This window comes from Homo sapiens, chromosome 7 (assembly GCF_000001405.40).
Source record: "Homo sapiens chromosome 7, GRCh38.p14 Primary Assembly".
Taxonomy (NCBI): Eukaryota; Metazoa; Chordata; class Mammalia; order Primates; family Hominidae; genus Homo; species Homo sapiens.
The window spans coordinates 26399759-26421796 of NC_000007.14; the positions used below are offsets into that span (position 1 = coordinate 26399759).

The 22038-nt window shown below is 39.8% G+C and overlaps 1 long non-coding RNA gene across 6 annotated transcripts in view, besides 1 other annotated feature; it reads left to right on the forward strand.

Annotated features, from left to right (window-relative positions):
* The window catches only part of LINC02981 (long intergenic non-protein coding RNA 2981), a 142382-nt gene that overhangs the window by 1190 nt on the left and 119154 nt on the right, over positions 1–22038 (forward strand). For 3 of the 6 annotated variants that reach the window (NR_148499.1, NR_148504.1, NR_148503.1), the window contains exons 2-3: positions 3638–3759; positions 12427–12481. The exons of 1 other annotated variant lie outside the window; for it this stretch is intronic. This is a non-coding gene — a long non-coding RNA (long intergenic non-protein coding RNA 2981). The remainder of the gene's footprint in view (positions 1–3637; positions 3760–12426; positions 12482–22038) is intronic. 2 more of the 6 variants (NR_148501.1, NR_148500.1) reach the window with 1 other exon arrangement.
* Positions 16019–16574: an enhancer, noted in NCBI's record as "NANOG hESC enhancer chr7:26455397-26455952 (GRCh37/hg19 assembly coordinates)". NCBI's record gives its function as "activates a minimal SCP1, AML or CMV promoter by ChIP-STARR-seq in naive H9 embryonic stem cells {active_cell/tissue: H9 hESC(naive)}" and the evidence as "EXISTENCE:reporter gene assay evidence [ECO:0000049][PMID:30033119]".

Consider the following 22038-nt stretch of genomic DNA (forward strand, 5'->3'; position numbering starts at 1 on the left):
CAGCTTGCTCTACAGGTACTTTGGAACAGGGCAGGGATGGAGGGAAGGTCCTTGTATCTTAGGGATCAAATGCCCAGGAAAATAATTAGGAGGTGTTTGGGATTATGCTGAAAACCCTGACAACACTGAATAGCAGATGTCTCTTTCTTTTCCCTTTGTTCACTGTAAAGAAAAACTTACACTCCCCCACAGCCATGCCACAATTCCATGGACCAACCATTCATGTGTGAAGGTGGGCCTCTAGGAGTGTTTTGTGCCTTTTAGGAGTTATTTGTGGCACACTAAACTTGCTGACATGCCATTTAGAAAAGTGAATACTGTGTACGCACTGTAACAACTATTCCATAAGTATTTTTGGTGTACACTGTTCCTCAGCACTCACAGGCTTCGGAGTAGGGGCTCCCGGAGTATGCATTGACACGATGCGCTGCAAATGATCCGGGCGTGGGGAAGTCCCCGAGTGTGCATTGATTCCACACACGGCCACGGCTCCTACAGGGCTTTTATGGTGCAGCTCGCCAATGATCCGTGTGTTAAAGACTCCCCAAATACACATTGACACGATAGACTGGAGTTGTTTGGGTCTATCGTGGCAATGATCCGGGGATAATGGCAGTGTCTTATACAATTTCACTGAGATTGGAGTGCTCATGGTCCTAATGGCAGAACCGGAACTGCCCCAGTTAAGTCCCACCATGGCGCCCAGTAAAGGGTGTGTGGGTCTTTGACCTTCTGCTTCATGACACTGTGGCATTGCTAATTTTACTGATATTTTAACTAACATAATTGAGTTAGCATTTTTTTCCCCCTGAAAATTCATTTTTGTAATTCAACACCTGAATTAGGGAGTCCATCTAGTGATGGTTTCATTTGGTTAATCATAAGCTAAAGACCTAGGAAAGGTCATTCTTAAACCTAAAGTGTTTTGGGAAAAATAATCGTGGGAGATGCATATGAGCTTGAGACAGAGTTAATATGGAATAAATAACCTCAGTCCTGAGAAAACCTAGTTGGCTAGGCTGAAATAGACAAGATGAGAAGGTGGGAAGAAGATGTTTTTAAAAATAATGAAAGTAACATATTCAATAAAAATAATTCAAACACTGTAGAAGTGTATGAAATAAAAAACAGAATCCTCCCACTCCTTCCTTCCTTCTTTCTATACCATTCACTGTTACAAGCACTATTAATATTTTTGTATATTCTTCCAGTAACTTAAAAACACATGCAAATATATACAGTCATGCATCTCTTAATGATGGGAATATGTTCTGAGAAATGCATCGTTAGGCGATTTCATCATTGCACGAATATCAGAGAATGTACTTATACAAACCTAGATGGTGTAGCCTACTACCCACCTAGGCTATATGGTATAGCCTATTGCTCCTAGGCTACAAACCTGTACAGCATGGTACTGTAACAGAATACTGAAGGCAATTGGCCAGGCACTGTGGCTCACGCCTGTAAATCCCTGCACTTTGGGAGGCCAAGGCTGGCCTTCAAGACCAGCCTGGCTAACATGGTGAAACCCTGTTTTTACTAAAAACCCCAAAATTAGCTGGGCTTGATGGCATACACGTGTAGTTCCAGCTACTCAGGAGGCTGAAGCAGGAGAATCACTTGAATCTGGGAGGTAAAGTTTGCAGTGAGCAGAGATCATGCCACTGCACTCCAGCCTGGGCAACACAGCAAGACTCCATCTCAAAAAAAAAAAAACAACACTGTAGGCAACTGTAACACAATGGTGAGTACTTATGTATCTAAATGTAGAAAAGGTACAGCAAAAATACAGTATAAATGGTAAAAAAAGAAAAAATACAACTGTATAGGGCACTTACCATGAATGGAGTTTGCAGGTCTAGAAGTTGCTCGGGTGAGTGGAGTGAGTGGCGAGTAAATGTGAGGGTCTAGGACATTGTGTATACTAGTGTAGGCTTTATAAACACCGTACACTTAGGCTACACTAAATTTATATTTAAAAAGGTAATTGCTCTACAACATTGTGATGGCTATATTGCCACTAGGCTATAGGAATTTTTCAGCTCCATATTAATCTTATGGGTCCACTGTTGTATATTTGGTCCATTGTTGACCGAAATGTCATTATGTGGTGCATGACTGTATATCTACTCTTTGTTTACACAAATGGGTTAATGCTGAATGTTAATCTTCAACATCTTATATTTTCAATTAATAATACAGTCATGTGCCCCATAATGATGTTTTGATCAGCAATGGACTGCATATACGATAGTGGCCCTGTAAGATTACCGTGGAGCTGAAAAATTCCTATCGCCTGGTGATGTCTTAGCCCTTGTAACATCTTAATGCAACACATTAGTTGTGTGCTTGTGGTGGTGTCAGTGTAAACAAACCTACTGCGTTGCCAGTTATTTAAAAGTATACCACATACCACAGTATGCCACATTATCAAGTACATAATCCTAGATAATAACAATAAACAACTGTTACTAGTTTATGCATTTACTATACTATTTATTATTATTTTAGACTACTTTCTACACATGCATACACACATATTTATACACACATATATGTATAAAAGTTAACTATAAAACAGCCACAGGCAGGTCCTTCAGAAGGATTCTAGAAGAAGGAATTTTAATAGAGGAGATGGGGGTGGGCACGGTGGCTCACACCTGTAATCCCAGCACTTTGAGATGTCAAGGTGGGTGGATGACCTGAGGTCAGGAGTTCGAGACCAGCCTGGCCAACATGGTGAAACTCTATCTCTACTAAAAATACAAAAATTAGCTGGGTGTGGTGGCAGGCACCTGTAATCCCAGCTACTTGGGAGGCTGAGGCAGAAGAATCGCTTGAACCCAGGAGGCAGAGGTTGCGGTGAGTGGAGATCATGCCATTGCACTCCAGCCTGGGTGATAAGAGCAAAAAAAAAAAAAAAAAAAAAATGAGATGGCAGTTCTATGCACTGATGACCTTACAATGGGACAAGATGTGGGGATGGAAGACAGTGATATTAATGATCCTGATCCTGTGTAGGCCTAGGCTAATGTATCTGTTTGTGTCTTAGTTTTCAACAAAATATTTAAAAATTAAAAACAATAAAAAATAAAAATTTTAAAAATAGAGAACAGCTGATATAAATAAGGATAAAAAGGAATTAAATAATTTTGTACAGCTATACAATCTGTGTTTTAAGGTACGTATTATTACAAAAGAATCAAAAGGTTAAAAAAATTAAAAATTTTATAAAGTAAAAAGTTATAGTAAGCTAAGTTTATTATTGAAGAAAGAAAATAATTAATAAATTTAGTGTGGCCTAAGTATACAGAGTTTATTTATTATTTTCACTTTTTATTTTTTTGAGATGGGGTCTTTCTATGTTACCCAGGCTGGATTAGAACTCCTGGGCTCAAGTGATCCTCCTGCCTCAGCCTCTTGAGTAGCTGGGATTACAGACGTGCATCACCATTCCTGGCTAGAGTATAGAGCTTATAAAGTCTATAGTAATGTGCAGTAATGTCCTAGGTCTTCACATTCGCTGTCTACTCATTCACTGACTTACTCAGAGACACTTTCAGTCCTGAAAGTTCCATTCATGGTAAGTGCTTTATACAGGTGTACCATTTTTAATCTTTTTTTTTTTTTTGAGGTGGAGTCTCGCTCTGTCGCCCAGGCTGGAGTACAGTGGTGCGATCTTGGCTCCCTGCAACTTCTGCCTCCCAGGTTCAAGCGATTTTCCTGCCTCAGCTTCCTGAGTAGCTGGGACTACAGGTGCGTGCAACCATGCCCAGCTAATTTTTTGTGTTTTTAGTAGAAACGGGGTTTCACCATGTTAGCCAGGATGGTGTTTATCTCCTGACCTCATGATCTGCCAGCCTCGGCCTCCCAAAGTGCATTTTTTATCTTTTATACTGTATTTTTACTGTACATCTCCTATGTTTAGATACACAAATACTCATCATTGTATTACAATTGCTACAGTATTCAGTACAGTACCATGCTGTACAGGTCTGTAGTCTAGGAGCAATAGGCTACACCATCTCGCCTAGGTGTGTAGTAGGCTCTATGATCTAAGTTTGTGTAAGTATACTCTATGATGTTTGCACAATGATGAAATCACCTAACGACACCTCTGTCAGAAAGTATCCCCATCATTAAGTGATGCATGTCTATTGAACTTTACTCCTTCTTAGCACATTTAGATCTGTGGCGTCCTTTTAAATAACTGCATGGAATTCCAGGGTATGGATATAACAATGTTTAGATGTATGCTATTTCAATCATTACTGCAGTGAATATCCTTATAAGTCACATTTGAAAATTTGTGCAAGTATGTTCATAAAATAAATTTTTAGCAGTGGAAATGGAGCTAAAAAGACGTACATTAAAAATGTTGATATATATTGCCAAGCTGATCATCTTACACACCGACTAACAGTATGTGTGCTTAGTTTCCCACTCCAGGCTAACGTTTTATCGTGGAAGACACTTCTAATGTGTGACAGTGAATTTCCCGCCGATTTCTCTGCATAGCTTTATGGTGAGAGTCCAGTGCTGGGGACAGTGATAAGTTCAGTGAACTGCAGAAGCCAGACTACAGAGTAGTAAGTCCTGTTAGCCAAGATAAAACAATGGTTGAGCTACAAATCACACTGAGAGCAGATGAATTTTGGTAATAACCTATCAACCTGGGAGAATCAGAATTAGAGCACATTAATTCATGATTCAGCAAATATTTATTGTGAGGTTATAAGCAACTCCTCCACTGAATAAGCCCCTTGAAAGCAGGAGCTTTGGCCTCCACAGAATTGTAGAATGCGGCCTGGTTGAGAGTTGTTTTTATTGTTGGTGTTGTTTGTTTGCTTAATTGGCCACTTCCTGTGTACCAGGTGCCTGGCTCTGTGTAAAGCCGGGGATTCAAGATGGCTGACATGTTATTCTTGGTTCCAGGAGCTCCGGGTAGGAGAGACAGTGGGATGTAAACCAGTCTGAAAAGTCACAGAGTACAGGCAAAGTAAACATTGAGCAACTGACTTGCACGGAGTACATAAATTTCCCCAAAGTTCAATATTTGAGCCGGGTCTTGGAAGATGAGTAGGGAATGATTTCCAGATTAAGGAAGGACTTTTAGACAGAGGAAACCACGATGAAAGAGGTGGAGCTTTGTGGAATGCCCATGTGAATGGCACAGGGGTTGTGTGTCAGGGAGAAAGGAGAGCAGAAGGGCATGTGCTTCCTACTTACAAGGTGCCAGGAGTGTAAGGGAGAGACTTAGGGAAGGAGTGGGTGTTCCCATTCAGGCTGTATATCTGAATTGTAGTGGGGCACTGGTAAGCCATGAACATCCCATAGCTTTAATGTGCCTCATTTGTAAAATGGCTAGATCATTTCTAATATTTTTATCAGCTCAAAAATCTTTTGGCTTTTGAGCCACAGGACTTGAACTTGCCTGAAAGGTTTTTATCTTCCAATCTGCATACTGCAGAGCATTGTGTGATACCTAAGAGTGTTCCTTTACTATGGTAGTAAGGGGCTGCTTATAATTTGCTGGAATTAACAACCAGGGGCACTTACTGTGACCTCAAATACTTTATATGCCTTTTGGCAAAACAGAAAAAGAAAGAAATACAAGAAAATAAAAGAAAAGAAGAGAAGAGGATACTAGTAAAAATGAAGAAAAGTGAAAAGCGGGACATAGGAATCTTCTGGTAATTACTCTTTATATGCAGCTGAATCCTATCTCCAGTCTTGAAGTTGAACAGACGTTGCTTAAATGGTTTCTCTGAAGTACATTGCAGAGTTGGATGTCAAGTGTCCTCTTTCTTGGGATTCACACGCTGAATGAATTTTATTGGACTTGATAAGCTTGCCATCATGTCCTCCTCTGTGGCAAAGGGAAACATTCTGACTGAGGCAGTGTCTAAAGATAGAGAGAACCCTGGGACCTATTGATTAGAGACCTCCCTTCAAGCTGACACCAGTACTATTTGAGAATTATTACCAAGCCCACCTTGCCCAAAAGAATGAAGGACTTGTTTAAAGTTTGTGCTGACTTTCAGATGAACTATACATAGTTCCCCCAATTTTTAGACTCAGACTTTTCCAAGTGGTATTTGAGGCTATCTAGAAGCAAACAAAAGAAACACAAGCAGATAGCCCATAAGACCAAACATGTGCCATCATAACATCTCTTGTGACCAGTGACTCACCTAAGATGAGGGAGTTTGCTGAATTTATTGAATTATTGAAGAAGGATGCCTTGCCAGCCCTGTCAGTCACTAGAGTCTTGGATTTTACAAAGGAAAGCGAGAGGTCTAAGAGGCTCTGCTAAAACCTCCGAGAGTCAAGCCATCTGTCCCACATTGATATTGGGGATTTCCAAAATAGCTTCCTATGAGATCACCTTGCATGTGGAATCCATGGCAGACACCTCCAGGGGGACTCCTGATGGAACCAAATGTGATATTTTCATTGGCATGGAGCAAGGACTGGCCGGTGAAAACAAATTTCTGATTTCCTCAGAAATTCAAGGGCAGCACAGGGTTACTGATAGTATGACAAGAGAGGGATCTTACTGTGTGGGTGAGGAGGTGCCAATCCCAAATTACTGTCAGGATTTTGGGGACCTGCAGTCTTTGTTCAGACAGTGGAATTCTTCATCCATGATTCACTCCCAGATACTCCCAGAGTAAAGATTGTTTTGGAAGAATGGTCATTGTGAAAGAGCATATCCCTCTACCAGTATCAAGAGAGCTACTGGCAGAGTATGTCATACATATCATTGGGTGTCAGGAAACTTAAGTATTTCTATGTCAGTAAAGACCAGGAGACCCATGTGGAGCCATAAGCACCAGATGAAAGTAATGATGGTTGATAGTCCCCAGCTGGCGAGACATTTGCCTGGCCATTTACCAAGATTATTGAAACTAATATCACAGTAGTTGTTTAGTTGATATTTCTGGAGCTATGCTGCAGTTGTGGAGTTTGAGTCCTTCTTGGCAAAACTTAGGAAAATATTGGATCAATCAGAATTAGAGTTCCAAAAGTGTTTCTAGGCTTATGATCTTGCAAAGTAACTGGACCGTATCCAGATGCTCAATAAGGACCGATCAAATGAATGAGTGAAGAAGGAAGAAAGGAATGACCTAATATTATATAAACAGTAAAATGGCTCCAGAATTGTTTTTATCTAGTTTGATGGTACCTGTAAACAAGGAGAGAAATGATTGTAAGCCTAAACATGTAGGTGATAGGATTTAACTACTTTTCACCAGAAGTTGTAAAAAGAGAAAACAAAGAAAAAAATGATCAATTTCTAATTCTTTCATGTCCTTTGAAAAACACAGTCATAGGAAGATCTCTCAAAGTAAACTGCATTTAATTCTGGACATGTTATCAATTAACTTGAAATCATAAGTTTTGAATCTAAAGAGATAGCTTTGAATATGTCACATATATACCTAATGAACTGTACTAGTGTCTCAATATTTAAAGCCTGTGAAGCTCCTAACATGGAGGTGGGAATGGAGAAGAAGAGCCCCATAGACACTTGCAAAGGTCATTCCAAGTTTATGAAAAAATCAGATTGTTGAAGTGAAGCAGGAAGTTTCCAAGAAAGAATCAGATTTTCTTTCTACCTGAGAAAACACATAACATCTTTGGCAAATGAAATTAAAACTGCACATGAAAGATTGAGTTCCTGTAAAAGTCACTTAACTGGGAAAGACACAACCACATATTTTATACCATGGAGCTGCAGAAAGTTCAGTGTCATATCAAATAATTATTTTCTCAGCACAAAATGTAAGACATCTTGAGGATGAAATTTCAAGACAGTAAGTTTCATTTGGCATCAACATTTTAGCATCCGATCTTAAGGGACCCCCAAAACTGTAAGACAGAGAAAGCAACTATTCAGTCGCCAATGTAGCTGCTTTAAGAAGCACTGGGCATTTCTTTCTTCCTTATTTTTAAAATTTAGATTCAGGGAGTACATGTGCAGGTTTGTTACATGGGTATATTGCAGAAGCACTGGGTATTTCTGTATCTGGTAAATTCAGAGATAGTCTCCCAGTGTACTTTGTTTTGCAGGTTTAAATATTCCATGATTGAATATACTACTACAATAATTTTCAAAGTGAGGTTAGCAGACTTGATACATCAAGATGCTTGTTCAGTTTCAAAGGCAAATTTTTCTACCCTTGAAATCAGCAGTAAAACCTCCCTGGGCGATTCTTTTTTTTTTTTTTTTTTTTTTTGAGACAGAGTCTCGCTCTGTTGCCCAGGCTGGAGTGCAGTGGCGCGATCTCAACTCACTGCAAGCTCCACCTCCCGGGCTCACGCCATTCTCCTGCCTCAGCCTCCTGAGTAGCTGGGACTACAGGCGCCCGCCACCACGCCCGGCTAATTTTTTGTATTTTTAGTACAGACGGGGTTTCACCATGTTAGCCAGGATGGTCTAGATTTCCTGGCCTCGTGATTCGTCCGCCTCGGCCTCCCAAAGTGCTGGGATTACAGGCGTGAGCCACTGCTCCTGGCCCCCTGGGCGATTCTTAAGCACATGGAACTTCGATAACTTTTAGAACTTTGATTAGGGTTGTGATTGTAGATCTAAAGTTCTTGGTTAGTTCCTTTAAATATTGGGAATTATATGCTGGAGGAAGTAGGCATGGTTAAACAAATATTTCTTTTTAAAAATTAAAACAGCCTTATTATTTTTCTCTATAGAAAAATGGTACATGCTCATTATAAAAAAATAAAAAATGTTAGCATATAGAGAAGAGGCCGGGTGCGGTGGCTCACGCCTGTAATCCCAGCACTTTGGGAGGCTGAGGTGGTAGATCACGAGGTCAGGAGTTTGAGACCAGCATGGCCAACATAGTGAAACCCATCTCTACTAAAAATACAAAAATTAGCTGGGCGTGCTGATGCATGCCTGTTAAGTCCAGCTGCTTGGGAGGCTGAGACTGAAGAATTGCTTGAACCCGGGAGGCGAAGGTTGCAACGGGCTGAGATCACACCATTGCACTCCAGCCTGGGTGCAAGACTCCGTCTTGAAAAAAAAAATAAATAAAAAATAAATATATATATATATGAGAAAGTATTTTATATACTCTTTTTAAGATTAGTGATATTAACCCTTTAAAATCATATTTGTTGCTAATATTTTTCTCAGATTGTCATTTGCTTATTTTTTACCTATAGTTTTTATGAAATAAATTTTTTATGAAATAAAATTTTATGAAATAAAATTTATCAATTTACATTTTTATGAAATACAATTTATGAAATAAAATTTTTCTCTTTTCATTTCTGGCCTTTGACTTATGATAAGAAAGACTGTTACTTCCCTGGATAATAAAAATCTTCATGTGTTTTTCTCCTATACTTTTCCATTTTTCCAATCTTTACATTTAAAGTGTTGATCCCACTGGAATTTAACGCAGTATAAATAATAAAGCTGGGATCCAGCTCTATTTATTTTGTCCAAATGGCTAGCTAGTTTTTTCAAGATCATTTCTTTTTGTTATGTATGAAGACCATTTCCCATTTCTTGAATAATTTATCTTATTCCCACTGATGTAAAATGCTACTTTGATTATGTACTAAATGTCTAAACATACTTTCTGGCCCTACCATGGCAATTTGGTCAGTCTGTGTATTTCTGTGTCAGCACCATACATTTTAATATCTCATTACTCTTATGTTTAGAATTTTCTTGGCTAGCTATTCTTGAATGTTTATTCTTCCAGATAAGCTTTAGAATTATTTTTCAAAGTTTCAAGAAAGATCCTGTTGGGACTTTCATTAGAATTATGTAACTTATACAATATATGTTTACATAAATTTATAAATTAACTTGGGGGAGAACTGGCTTTTTTGCAATTTTGAGTCTCCTTATGTGATAATATAAGAAGAGACATGATTTCTCAAATAGCTCAAAACTTTGTTGAAACCTCCTTCTCTCTCTCTCTCTCTGTGTGTGTGTGTGTGTGTGTGTGTGATCACAAATAGATTTTGCCTGTTTCTTGTAAGGTTTATTTCTGGGAATTTTACAGGGTTTTGTTGGCTTATGATTAACCATATGGTTCTAAGGTATGTGCGTAGACCTATGTGTGGCCTAACATGTAAGCCTGGAGCTAGATTGCTGTGGTTTTAGGGAATTGGTATGTGATAGAAGACTGTGTTTTAGAGATAAACCCAAATGGATCTTTAACGTAGTTTACAAGTTGCCATGAGGCTTTGGATAGATTCTTCTTTCTAAGCTTCTTTTCCCACATGTGTACAATAGGAAATCTTGAAGGGATTTGTAAGCATTGAATTGTCTAACATAGCGCTTAGCAAATAGTGGGTCATCAGATATGGGAGCAGTTTGAAGGCCAAGTCAGTCTCAAAATTCCTTGCAATGTTGAGATTCCTTGATGCTTTCAAAAAAGTATTTATACTTGGCAGAGTTTTAAAAAATGCTTGTAATAAAAGCACTGTTCTAATAGTGCCCTCTCCCCTCCTCTGATGGCATATTTGATGTGACAAAGAGAGCTCATGCAATGACTGTCTTGTTCTGAGCACCATCACTGCTGAAAGGTTTCATCTCAGTCACATCGCAATGGGGGGCCTGGTTCTTTCTTCTTACACTGTTAATTAATGGTCCACTGGGGAATTAGGGGAGGGACTTCAATGTGTTAATGGCTTAGTAAAGTACATCTGAGGCACTCAGACCATTTGGAGTACCCAGTTAAGAATGATTTGCCACGTACAGGAGAGCTGAAAGAAGACTTTCAGGAACATGGGCATTCAGCTAAACCAATAGTTAGCCCCACACTTTTAACGGCATAATCGCCAACATAACCATTTCAGCATAATAGCCTTTTAATCCAGAAACAATTACTTTGGATAATAAAGTAACACTTTAATTTGCTTGACACAAAATTTGACCTATGTGGATCATATAATGGTGAGGTGAGGGGAAGGGGAGTCTGTTGACTTCTAAATACATTATAAAGCGACAACACATAATATACTTTAGGCCTGGGGTGCTGTAAATGGCTTAGCAGAAAAATAAAATGATCCGGATCAGCTATTGCTTTGGAATTTATGAAATACTTCATTATTTGGACATTGGTTTCCTTAGGAAGGATAGCTAAACCTTGAAGTTGATGCATGTTGATTAAATTTGTTCATTTTGAACACCTACTACGGGAAGTGCTATGGGTGATACAATCAGTCAGCACACTTTTACTGAGTAAAAGATAATGCTGTTCCCTCAGAGGGTGATGTAAATCACACGTGTTGCTTCACTATAGCAATATCTTTTTTTTTTTTTTTTTTTTTTTTTTTGAGGCAGGGTCTCACTCTGTCACCCAGGGCTCACTGCAACCTCTGCCTCCCAGGCTTAAATGATCCTCCCACCTCAGCCTCCTGAATAGCTGGGACCACAGGTGCATGCCACCATGCCTTGTTAATTTTTGTATTTTTTGTAGAGATGGGGTTTCACCATGTTGCCCAGGCTGGCCTCGAACTCCTGAGCTCAAGTGATCCTCCTGCCACGGCCTCCCAAAGTGCTGGGATTATAGGCGTGAGCCACTGTGCCTGGCTGCGTATCTTTGTATCTAGCTTTTGGCCATTGTTAGCTGCTTCTGTTTTGTTTTTAATTGAATTAATTTTCTTAAATGTTTTCAAATTCTTTTGGGAAGTAGATGAGTTTTAAATCCTAAAAGGTTCCACATATACACCTACTAAGTGGGTGAGTGAAATAGCTAATCTATATTCTTGGTATAGGCGAGGACTCTTGTTTTTTCATTTGGAAGAAGAGCTGGGACCAGGCTTGAGAGACTTGTGCTATATAATATCAGGAATTCCAAAAAGCCTCATCTTGTGCCTGATTCAAAATACTATGCCTACTGTATAGCGGATAGTTAAAATCTGACAATTAATTCCTGTCAGCTAACTACATCTCTCATTAAATTCCAACTGTTTCCTGGGAAGTAGTAAAGGTTACTGGCCATTTACACCTTAGTAAGAATGAATTTATAACAGCTTTCTTAAAGTAAGTAAAGGAGATATTATTAAGTACTAAAAAAAAATGCAGGCTGCTAGCTAAAATATTCTAACAATTTACGATTAAGAATAAGATGGTTTATAAAGTCTTTTCTTGAAAGTAGATTTTGATGTATTAGAGATGGGATCATACTGGATATATAATTTTGTATGTTAATCTTGTTTTGTATTTAACATTATAGCATAGGTATTTTCTCATTAAAAAGTCTTTGATACTATCCCTCTGTTAGGGACTGAATTGTGTTCCCTCCAAAATCCATATGTTGAAGCCCTAAGCACAAATGTGACTGTATTTGGATATCGTGCCTTTATGGAAGTGATTAAGGTTAAAGGAGGTGATATAGATGGGGCCCTGATTCGACACAATTTGTATCTTTCTAGGAAGAGACACTAGAGAGACACTCAGCTGCAGTGAGAATACACAGGCATCTTCAAGGTAGGAAGAGATTCTTCACCAGAAACTTCCCGTGCTGAGCTTCGATCTGGGACTTCCAGAATCGTCAGAAAGTACATTTCTGTTTATAAATACCAGTCTATGGTATTTTGTTATGGTAGCCTGAGCCGACCAATATACCCTCCAATGGCTGCATACTATTCTGATGAATGCCCTGGCTGGAATTATTTTTCTGTTCTCCCACTGTTGGACAGTTATTGGTTTATAACATGGAAGATACTGTTAGGTCTGTGAACTACCCTTTTATAGATGGCTTTGCTTCCTTTTTTCCTTTGGATTTTTGAAAGTTGGGCTTTCCTTCTCTGAGATATGCCTGTGCATAAAAACAGTCATCATTATTAAGGGGGCTTCTTGCCTTTTCAGGATGAGGGGTCTGCAGGTTTAAGTATCCTAGATCAGGGCTGTGCAAACTGTGGTCTCTGGGCCAGTGCCCGTCTGTGAACAATTTGCTACTCATCCACAATGAGACAAATACAGAAATCACGAGGAAATATTTAGAAACCTTCATAGCAATTTGACATTGCTGTAGCATCCAAGAAGTGGTCAGGGGATGGTCTTGCAGTGTATAGAACAGATCAGGTCATGAGTTTTACGTAGTGGGACTCTGTGGGCATTTTAGGATTCTGATTCAGCCCATGTAAATTGTAGAAAACAAACAACTGGTTCTACACCTGAGATGTACTGAGAAGAGTGGAGGATGCACGAAACTCCTAAAACCTTTAGAGCAAAGAGTTGCAAATAGTAGTTAAGGGACAGATATGGTTGAAACTCCAGTGCTGCCTCTTATTTGCTTTGAGACCTTTGCCAGACTACTAAAGCTCGCTGTGTATTGGTTTCCTCAATTGCAAAAACAGGAGTAACAATAGAATTAACTTCATAATATGATCCTACAGAGAAAGGACTTGGCATATTGCCTGGTATGTATCAAGTGCTCAGTAAATAGAAGCTACCATTACTATGTCACTAAACATCATGCAAGCAGCAGTTTGTGGAAGGGTTCCTTTATTTGTTATTATTGCAAAACCCAAAGCTCTTGAGTGAAGCAGCATTCCCCTCTTTTTATCAGCCTATTTGTGATCCAGGAGCTGGTGTTTGTCTTCTACACAGGTTGGGACCGCATCCCTTGCAGGGCAGCCTGGATTAGAGGTGACAGGCCAGGAAATCACAGACCCTTTAGAGCACCCTCTCCACTCCTTCCTGCACTGTCACCAGCTCATCAAAAGCTCTGTTTATCTCACAGTTGCCAGATGTCTGTCTTTTTGAGGTTGTCCTGAATTTTATTGCCCTGTCCTGTTTACAGTCCTCATGGGCACACAATGGCCTGAGCCCAGGGAGAAGCTGTATATCCATGACGTGTCCTGTCAACATCCTGGCACATTGGGACCCCCATTCTGCTACTGCTATTGACCCACTCCCTACCTTGCAGGCTTGATGGAGGGGGAGAGCAGAAAGAGGGTCAGAGCTGGTGTTTGAGGATCTGGATTCTTATCCTGGCTCTGCTGCTTATGGCCCCTCAGCCCCAGTGTCCTCATCTGTAAAATGGGGACCGTAACACCAACCTCACTGTGAGTATGGTGACTGAATGAGAGCCGCTGAAAAGTGTTCTAGTGCATAACACATGCAACTTTCTTTCCATCCTGCCAGCACTGATCTTCTCTCTGCCTCTTAGTGCTGTGCTAAGTGTACAGTAGTCCTCCCTTATCAGAGCTTTCCATGGTTTCAGTTACCCATGGTCAACCTTGGTCCAAATTCCAGAAATAAATAATTCATAAGTTTTAAATCATGCTTCATTCTGAGTAGCATGATGAAACCTCAAGCTGTCACACTCTGTCCTACCCACGATGGGAATCATCACTTTGTCCAGGAGAGATGATTGGGGGACCGTAAAATAAGGGTTCCTTGAATCTCATTTTGCCTTATTTCAGGGAACTCTTATTTTACTTACTAATGTCCCCAGAGTGCAGAGCAGTGATGCTGGCATATTGTTGTAGTTGTTCTATTTTATTTTACTTATTGTTGTTAATTTACTATCTTTAATTTATAAATTACTGTGCCTAATTTATAAATTAGACTTTATCATATATATATATATATATATATATATATATATATATATATATATACAGAAAAAACATAGTATATATAGGGTTGGCTATAATCCCAGGTTTCAGGCATCCACTGGAGGGTCTTGTAACATTTCATCTGAGAATAAGGGGGACTACTCTACAAAGCATTGTACAAAGGGAATTCCTCACTAGAATATATGTTCCATAAAGCCAGAGATTTGTCCATTTTATTTGTTGCTCTATCCCAAGTTCTAGAATAATGCCTGGTGACAGTAGATGCTTTATTGACATATGTTGAACAAATTAATTAAAATGAGTTATACACTCACATTTCTTGGTGTCTCCTTTAGGATATTTTCAACTCTAAGCAACAGAAAACCCTGACTCCAAAGAGGATATTGATTATTCCATAAACCAGAGAAGTCTGGAAGTAGAGAGGTTCTGTGGGTGGTTAGTTTCATGGCCCATAAGCATCATCTCTAGCCCAGGTCCTTCCCACCTTTCCACCCTGTCCTTCTCAGGCTGGTTGCCCTCAGAGTCATAAACAGTTGATGCAGTTCCAGGCATCACATATAGACAGTGACATCAGGTTGAAGCAGAGAGAGACTCTCTCTTCCTTGTGTATCTTTTCAAGAATGTAGAAATCTGTTCCCAAAATCCTCTACTTGACTTTTGTTCGCTTGCCTATTCCTGGTTTAGGCAATCACAAGCTTGGCCCAGTAAGGATTAACCCTGAGTTACGTGTGGGAAAGTTAATACCTAAAAAGTTCTGGCCTTTGTCAAAAAGGAAGAAGAGAGGGCAACCAAGAATGTCAGATCCACCTACTCTTTGGAGTCTTAGAAAAAAAAGAGCCAGGAATGGTGGCTCAGGCCTGTAATCCCAGCATTTTGGGAGGCCAAGGCGGGAGGATTGCTTGAGTCCAGAAGTTTTAGATCAGCCTGGGCAACACAGCAAGACCTCATCTCTACAAAAAAATAAAAAAATTAGCCATGTGTGGTGGTGTGAACCTGTGGTCCCAGCTACTTGGGAGGCTGAGGTGGGAGGATTGCTTGAGCCCAGAAGGTTGAGGCTGCAATGAACCGTGGTCGTGCCACTGCACTGCAGCCTGGGCGAGAGAGCAAGACTCTGTTTCAAAAAAAAAAAAAAAGATTAAGCAAAAATTAAACTTGTTTAATTAAGTATGTGTGTGAATCAGTAAATGTTTATGTTATATGCAAATAAAGAACTGGGAATAATAAGTGTAGAAGGAATTGCATTTTGGGAGTTGGGGGAGAAAATACACCCTTCCCAGCTGCCTGATTCAAGCCCAAATGTATTTAGAGTTGACAACTGGCTAATAAAAGGGGGTGCTTAAATGCAAGATGATGTAGCATAAGTTATATTTGCAGTGCTATAATAGCTTATGGATTAAGTTGGGGATTCAGACCCACCATAACAGTTGCAGAATAATCTCATTAATGCATCTCCTAATTCATTGCATGTACTAGTTCACTTGACCAGGCTAGTTGTTTACTCTGGTCTTTTTAAGGGAGAAATGGTTTACAAAGGAAACAGATAGTCCAAGTAGGAGTACAGGGAATGGGTTAAATGATTTTTAATATTCTGGCTTATCAAACCTCATGTGCGAAACATATCTATTTATTTAATCTAGCCCCTGGAACCTATCCTTGGCACACTTAATGGCCTGTGGTTGAAGGCACTACATGCATTTGGAATTAACCACACCAGTATAGTCTAAAATACTTTGAAATGCAAATTCCCTTAATTTGGCCATTACCCTTCCTGCAGTTAGTTTGAATTTCTGAGGTTTTCTTGAATCTCCAGAGCTCAGGGTACTTGGTAATCAGACCACAGGAAGCCTGTCCTTGTTTCTGGTGCTGCTACTATGACACTGTTGAGGTTCAGCTGTGGGCCCACATTTAGTGGAACCAGCATATGACACATCAGATGCCAAGCGTGAAGCCTGGGTAACCAGACTGCCTGTGTTCACACCCCAGCTTGGCCAGTGGTTATTTGTGTAAACCTTGGGTAAGATACTATCTCTCCATGCCTCAGTTTCCCATCTGTAAATGGGAATAATAGTAGTACCTACCTTATAGTGTTGTTGTGATAAGTACTTGAATTAGTATACATTAAGTTCCTGAAACAGTGGACAGTACCGTAATATAACATGGTTGGTATTTATTATATTATAAAAATGTTTACTATTTTAATAACATATCATATATATAAATTTGATATAAATAAATTGAATCATACATGTTATGATTCAAAGGAATTGTTTAGTCAATTATGATTAAGTGTGTGGCAAGTTGGCCGGGCACGGTGGCTCATGCCTTCAATCCCAGCACTTTGGGAGGCTGAGGCGGGTGGATCACAAGGATCGAGAGCATCCTGGCTAACACGGTGAAACCCTGTCTCTACTAAAAAATATAAAAAAATTAGCCGGGTGTGGTGGCGGGCGCCTGTAGTCCCAGCTACTCGGGAGGCTGAGGCAGGAGAATGGTGTGAGCCTGGGAGGCAGAGGTTGCAGTTAGCCAAGATCGCACCACTGCACTCTAGCCTGGGTGACAGTGTGAGACTCCATCTCAAGAAAACCCAAAAAAACCCAAAAAAGCCTGTGACAAGTCACTTTCTTTCCAGGTCCCTAGAAATGCAACATTTTTTTCAATGCCCAGGGAAGTTTTGCCCAGCTTGCCTCTAATACAGCAGCCATATTGTAGCAGAGGAATTGTTTTATGGGTTGCAACATTTAAATAAAAGCTTATTAATTAACTACTCAATTCCTTCTGAGGCAGTTTGCAATGGTTTTATTTCAATGTATACTGAAGGGCATTCTCACTTCTGCCTCCCACTGTGTTAAACATAACAGACATTGAATATACACTTATAGCATTGAACTAAGATAAAAATGTTTGTTTAGGCTTGAACTTAGTTGACTTAACTTCTATCATTTGTTTAGAAATTGTCATTTCTTTGCTTTAAGAGCTGGAAAAAATTGCACTAAATAGCAACCTATTTAGACATTTTAAAATACAATTCTTCTGCATGAATTATCCCCATAGAGGTCCGGTTGTGTCTGAGTTTGCTAATGAATCGAGTCACACTCTATTTGTGTTGATGGATTCCAGGCTTTAACACTCTAAGGCTGTTCTTCTAATGTAGGTGTGTGTCACATGTTGTGTTATTATCCACATAGTTCTGAGCAGTGTGAATCGTATGGATATTGGAGAGGTACTTTTTTTTATCTCCTATATTCAAGCTGGGAGTGAAGGGAAAGCAACTTACTTGCTGTCAGTTCCTGGAATTTTTTCTACCCATGCAAGTAGTAGGGCATTGTCTCAATTTATGTTCTACTATTGATGGAGCCCCTACACTGAACTTTCTGGGAAAAGCCAGGAGCTTACTCCTAGGAAGACATCAGGATGAAGGCTCATGACCAGCTTAACATGGCTCTCTGGCATTTCTATGAATCAATCCTTTTATTGACCCCAACCAGGGCGAATTTGAAAGCAGGATCCTTTCAAAGCCCTGGCCTCAAGTTATAGTGCACCCAATTTCTGACTTTATATTCCTATCTGTTGTAGACTTTCCATGCTTTCCTATAGTGCTTATCACAAAATCAGTTGTCCTTTGTGTTTCTTTTCCTGAGTATTTGCAGGAATGAGTCAGATCTTGCTTGTAATATATGGGGAGCCTAGAGGAAAATGGTGTTACTTTACGAGCCAGCCAACAATTCCTTTCAGGGAGGAGACTGCCTGCCACCTTAACGGAAGCATTTGGCTATGAAGATAAGGCCCTCAGGAGATAGCCTGGACAGTCTGGAGCTAGACTGAGAGAGAGCACACTACTCTGTGGAAGATGTTTACAGGAATTTGGGGGCGGGTGGAGAGCAGAGGAGAAATAAGAGAGGAGAGGGTTGAAGTGAGTGAGAAGGCAAGATGGCGGCAGACCCTGGGACCTAATGAGAGCCTTAAGCAGATGGAAAGACTGTGCTTCACGAGAACTGAGGGGTTTTCTGGGGGTGGAGGGATAAATCAAGTAAAAGGGGTTACATTCAAAATCTAGGTTGGCATGGGGCAGCTATGGGAGACGAGACACAAGTGAGGTCAAGAATCCAGCCAAAAGAAGCCACTGGAGATAGGGAAGTGACCATGAGAATATAAGCTGTCAGGAATTCTCAGACATCTAGGGGAAGACATTGGCCCTTCACAGGATGTGGGAAGGAGGCTTCAGCCAGTTTTTGTTTAAACCTCAAAGCAGAGAGTGATCTCAGCTGATAGCTGTATTATACATTTGTACCAGGAAAAAAAGTGTTTTTGAGTTAACACATTTTTGGAATACTGTTACAGAGATGAATGAAACCTTAAAGTAAATTTTATGACTTACATGTCTCATAAAAAGAAAGGCGTATCAGCAGCGTTTAAAAAAAGTTATTTTATAGGATTTTTTTATTCTAACGGATAGAGATTGTCTTTGGAGAATATAAATATTCTAAAGATTTAATGAAGTTATCTGAAGCCACATAGACATTAATTAGAGTTCTGTAATTAGAATTATAGTTATAGAAGCTTCTTGCTGCAAAATAGAGGGTAATATTTCAATATTTCAGGTTTACTGTGCTGTTGGAGCACAGTACCTGATGCATTTTCATATACCATGGCTTCAATAATTCTTTCTAAATAAGCATTTTGATAGATATTTAATAGTTTTAAAATTAATGTTGGGGTAAAACCCATTTTTATTTGTGCTCATCCCAGCCCTCCTTCTCTCACAAGCAGCCCGTCTGCTTTCTGCGCACAGAGCCACCCAAACCGATCATGACACTGAATCCAATCAGAAAAGCAGCATAAAGATGAAAGGTCTTACCAATGAGAAGTGAACTTGCTAAAGTACACCTTTCAATGAATTTGGACAAAACTGAAAAATGTTGTTGATATCAGATCCTTAGGCTGATTACTGAAGCGTTCGATTTTTCAGCATGTCAATTCATCACTGTCTACCTGGTTATATTTAACACTTTCTCCTGTTTCCAGCATGTCTGCTGAGACAGGCAATTGCTGTCACATGATATCTGCCTCTCAAGAAGGTCAGCAGACCATTGGGAGGCCGTGGTTTCTGTCCTCCAGCTGCCTTGATTCTTTCTCAGGTATTACTGACAGCAGATGGAGCCTCAATGTCTTGCAGGATCTAAAATATTAATAAGATTAGGGCTTTTATCCTTCAAACAGTTTAGCCTTTCCTTTTAGAGGCTCTGCACAATGTCTCATCTGTTAATTTATAATACTAGCTCTCCAGGAAGACCTGACACCACTTACGGATACCAAAATACCACTTTGCCCAGAGTCCCTCTTTTTCACTTCGTCAGTGTGCTGGTTCACGTTTTAAATCACGCTCATCTTTCAGAGACATTTGGAGGAGTTTAATTCCAGTTTGAGATGAGAGGTCTTGGGGTGCGTTTTAATAAATATTTGATGGGAATGCTAGCCTTGGGGGGTCATTCTTATTTACAAAATTAGAGATGGCATCTCTTAGGAAAGCTTAACTTCGTGGAAGAGGCGGTGTTTATAAATGCGCACAGCACTCTCATGCACGGGGTGGCCGCCACTTTTCAGAACACAGTAGTTATCCACGGTTCCATTTTTAGAAGCAGTGATTAAATTGCAGAGCACTGCTGTGTGATACCAATTACAATAACCATTGTCGATTCAATTGTCTTTTTTTTTAATGGAAAGCAAAATTCACTTTTCTGCATATAGCCTACAAAAATACATATATCATATGGTATGCAATTTAGATCATTTTAAAGGGCTGTAATGGCATTAGTTTAGATATCCCATTCCAGTCAGGCAATGAGCATCAATTTTGTTAATTAAGAATTTTAGGCTCTGTAAATTTATAGTACAATTACACTTTACTTCATATTGAAGAGGGTCTTTACCCCATGCCACCATTAGAAAAACGTCCACTTATATTATTTGCTGACGATTTCACAGGCAGATAAATTTCACAGGAAGCATTACCATTTCTTTTTTTGCATTGAAATTTCTTATTGAATGCCAATTGTCAGCAGAATGCAACCATGAAGACTTTTGAGTTAAATTTTTCTCTTTTCTTTTCTTCTTTCTTTTTTTTGCTAAAGAAAAAGCCAATTCATCAGGTAGGAAAGGACTGCTTTTCGTGGTCCCAGGTCCTGCCAGAGACAAATGACTGTAAAAATTTAAAATCAGTTATTAACAGATTAGCTGTTGGTCCAAAGTAAATAGCTTATTAAGCATCAGGCAGAGTGAGATAAAGGGGAAGAGTTATTGAAAATGAGGATGTTGTCTGGGGCTCTGCTTGTGGGGTAGCACAGGAGGAGGCTATTGCTTTGTGACTCTAATTACAAATGGAAAACAAGGTAGTTGGCTGAAAAAGTTGAATCCCTCGTTGTGTTAAACAGAGTCCTGTGGTTTTCTGTTCTACGTCATGGCTTTATTCACCTTGATTAGCATGGAAGTTGGTTGTGCTCCCCAGCTGTTCTCCTCTTTGCCTTCTAAGCAAAATCTGTCAACTGCTGTTCACTCAACCCCGCAAAGCAGCCCAGAAACAGTGGCTAAGACTCCTTAGTTTCAGGAACTGGACATTTCTTACCCCTTTGCACTAGTTCACATCTCATTATTGGTTAGGTTGGGGTTGTGAAGCGAAGGGATGGCTCATTAGCTGCTTCCCTCTAGGTTCAGATGTGTGAGCTACTATTAGACAGATGCCACAGTAATAATTGTTGCAGGCAAATTCCACCATTGAATGCTAAAATCAGTGGTGAAGGTTTGAGGAGAAACAGGATATTTGCATAGCTTCAAAGTATCTTTCCCAAGATATGTATTAATTACAAAACAAAAACACTACCATTACAATGGTGAAACCCAACAGATAGCCCCTTAACCAAGTGATCAAGGTTAACTTCACTAGTAACCAGATGGTGTCCCCCAGACCCCCGGCCCCTTCCCCAGACACGATGCACTGAGAAGGGCACACGTCATTTTTGTGGCGTTCTTACTAAAAATGTATAATCTCACTCTAGTCATGAATAAACAGCAGACAAACCTGTTCTACACACTAACTGGCCAGTACTCTTTCAAAGTGTCAAGGTCATAAACGTCAAGGAAGACTAAAGACCTGGTACAGACTGGAAGAGACTAAAGAGACAAAATAGTGTGGGATTCTGGATTGAATCCTACAACAGAAAAAGGAAGTTAGTAGGAAGCTGGATGAAAGAAGTTAGTAGAAAAACTGGTGAAATGCAAATGAAGTCTGAGGCTTAGTCAGTAGTACTGTACCAGTTAAATTCCTGGCTTTGGTAATGATACTCATATAGTCAGGATGCTTTGGCCCCTCCAAATCTCATGTTGAAATATGATTCCCAGTATTGGAGGTGGGGTCTGGTGGGAGGCGATTGGCTCATGGGAGGGGATCCCTCGTGAGTGACTTAG